Source organism: Homo sapiens, chromosome 15, assembly GCF_000001405.40.
Source record: "Homo sapiens chromosome 15, GRCh38.p14 Primary Assembly".
NCBI classification, from domain to species: Eukaryota; Metazoa; Chordata; class Mammalia; order Primates; family Hominidae; genus Homo; species Homo sapiens.
Window position 1 is genome coordinate 62,360,352 of NC_000015.10, and position 3,131 is coordinate 62,363,482.

General features: G+C 43.0%; 1 pseudogene; it reads right to left on the minus strand.

The window, feature by feature from the left end:
• Positions 875 to 2,125, minus strand: HMGN1P26 (high mobility group nucleosome binding domain 1 pseudogene 26; annotated as a pseudogene).

Here is a 3,131-nt window from a genome sequence, read left to right on the forward strand (position 1 = left end):
TTTAAAGGCCAGCCTCTTTACTCATCAACCCTGCTGCTCAGAACTCTGATGAGACCCATTCTCGAGAGCTCTCATGCTGCTGAATCTAAGCTCTTAGCATCAGATGACTCCTGGGTAATGCGAGCATGGGCGCATCACTGCTAATGTGCACAGCGCTTGGCAGAACGCCACAAGGCCGATATGTCGAGTGTAGCTTCTCAGTCTCTTAGCCAAGATCAACCGTAGAACCAGTCAATCTCCAACATCGTAATAACTCCTCTTTGGGGAACATATCCTGACCTGGTAAGGGGACAGATGCAGTGATTTAGTTTCTTTTTCCCACATTCAGCTTTCATGAGCCATATGACAAATGAGCAAAGGATCAGAGCATGCTGGGAACTAATGAACCAGAGGGAGAAATTCATTTAATGACTTAAGTGTGTTTTATCTAATGTGAAATGTAGGTCAATTCACTGTAAATTTATTCATAGGGATTATTTGTCCTTAGCCTGATTACATGGCATGTGTTGTAAGATTTCAGCCCTGTGTAAAACAGAACAGGTCCTGCCTGTCTCTCTCCATCCTTCCCTCCCCGCAGCATCCCTTCCCCTCACACACACACACAGGGTGGCAGGAATCTAACAACATCCATCAGTGCTTGTCTCAACAGATAAGGCTGATTTCAAACTATTCAAAACACTGATTTGGGGCTCTTCATTTTATTTTATTTTTTCAGATGGGGTCTCACTCTGTCGCCCAGGCTGGAGTGCAGTGGCACAGTCATAGTTCACTGCAGCCTCAACCTCCTGGGCTCAAGTGATCCTCCCACCTCAGCCTCCCAATAGCTGAGATTACAGGTGCACCCCACTATACCTAGCTAATTTTCTCTTTTTTCTTTCATAATTGAGATTTTTATTGGTTGAGGATCAGTACAGACATTTCAATTTGTACACAATTCTTAACATACGTAACAAAAATCTAAAAAGCCATGTTTTGTAATTCATTTTTAAAGTTATTCCAGTGACTTCCCAGCTCGAAATTCTGAAGCAAATTTTCCTTAAGAGGCTATCAGGTACCAGTATCTTCACATGTTGATAAGCTGTCACACACGTCCCACCGATTCACAACTGGAACAGCATGTACACTCCACATTCAAATTTTTAATCTTTCACAGCACAGTAACAAAGTTATTAGGAAAATAGGGCTACCACAACCAAAGAGGTTACAGAGTGCACATAATTCTCACAGGGAAAGCCATGAACAAAGAGTGGTTTTCTTTAGGAAACAATTCTACTAAAAAGCAACATGGGAATAGAAGTAATTTAAAATGTTCAAGACATTAAATGCAGGACTGACTCCATATTGTCATTTAATATGCTTTGTATTTCAGGATATAAAAACTAACCCCCCATCTACGGAATGTTAAGCTGACACCCGAGACAGTCAAAGCCTCCCGTAATTAAATATCCCACACTATTTTCTGGCTGTAGCAAAAACTTAATAACCAGCAAACGATTTCACCTCTTAAAAAAAAGCATTTACACTTAAAAAATGGGATGAGGTGGGATTCTCTCCTTCTTAAAAATGTTTCTAGAGCTACTCAAAAGCTTGCATTTACAAAATAGTTGATAAAAATATTCCTCTGGATTGTACAAGAAGGGGGACAGGGACCACTGAGAAGACGTAGTGTAGGGTATTAATCAGACTTGGCTTCTTTCTCTCCTGCTTCATCAGGGAGGCTGGACTCTCCTCAGTTTTCGTTTCACCATTTTCTGCAGGTAAATCTTCTTTAGTTTCTTGGTTAGCCACTTCTGCCTGTTTTCCCTTTGCTCCCCTTTTCCCTTTTGTTTGCGTTTTTTTGTCTGAAGATTTATCCTTCGCTGCTGCCTTTTTTGGCTGCGCTTCCACTTTTGCAGGAGGTTTAGCTGACAAACTCGCCGATGTCCTCTTGGGCTCTTCCTTGGCGGCCCCTTCGGTGGAGATGACCTTCCTCTTGGGCATCCTGGCGGCAGGGAGGGCGCGTGCCAGGTGCCTGCGGGCCGCGGCGCACCGAGAGCCTTCACGAAGCTGGGCAGCCTGGCCGCTGCCACTCTTTCTGCGTCCCCAGCTGCTGAGAACCACAGTGAGGGCAGTGGGAGAACCGGATGGAACTAGATTGGAAGCCCGCCTCCTAATTTTCTAATTTTTGTAGATATGGGGTTTTGCCATGTTGTCCAGGCTGGTCTCAAACTCCTGGGCTCAACCTACCCTCCTGCCTTGGCCTCCCAAAGCGCTGGGATTGTAGACTTGAGTCACCATGCCCGTTTTATTACATTTTTGGAAAAACTTGGAAAAATCTAAAAGCTGGACACCTACACAGAAATTCAGACATATTGCTGAGTAGAGTCCAAAAGAAAAATTAGGCAAGAAGGAGAGAATTTCATCACTCTGTTGGTCCAGCCGGGTATGTGTCACCAGAGAGACAAATTTATCAAACACAACAACCAGGGAATGAGTCTTGGGAGGTTTGGCTAGCAACGGTTTCTCAAGTCTAATTTAAGAAACCCAAGATAACAATCTTAGGGCACTCATCATCACCGTCACTGTTGTTATTATTTTGTAAAATGCAAATTAGTAACTGAACAGGTCAGCTTGCATTAGTGTCCCGTGAGCTTCCTTAGCTTCTTTACCTCTCAGAATAAAAAAGAATGTTCAGCCCTTGGTCCTAAAAGATAGGGGTCATAAAGCAATTTGAAGGAAGATTTGAACAAAGGCTTAAAAAGAGACATCGATTCAAAATAGATCCCCGCAAGATCATATTTGGGGAGGAAAAATGTGTGGGGACCTAGTTCACATCAGTATAATTTGTGGTTTCCTGCAGCAGTGTGAAAATCTTCTCATCAAAAATCATCTTTCTGACTCAGAGAAGAGAATAATGAAATTGTAAGCTTCTTTTTCTTTTCTAAGTCTAGCACTGATTTTAGAAGAAACATATAGGGAAATACTAAGAAACATTAACTTTTTTTTTTTTTTTTTTTTTTTCTGAGACGGAGTCTTGCTCTGTCTCCAGGCTGGAGTGCAATGGCACGATCTTGGCTCACTGCAACCTCCACCTCCCGGGTTCAAGCAATTCTCCTGCCTCAGCCTCCTGAGTAGCTGGGATTACAGGTGTG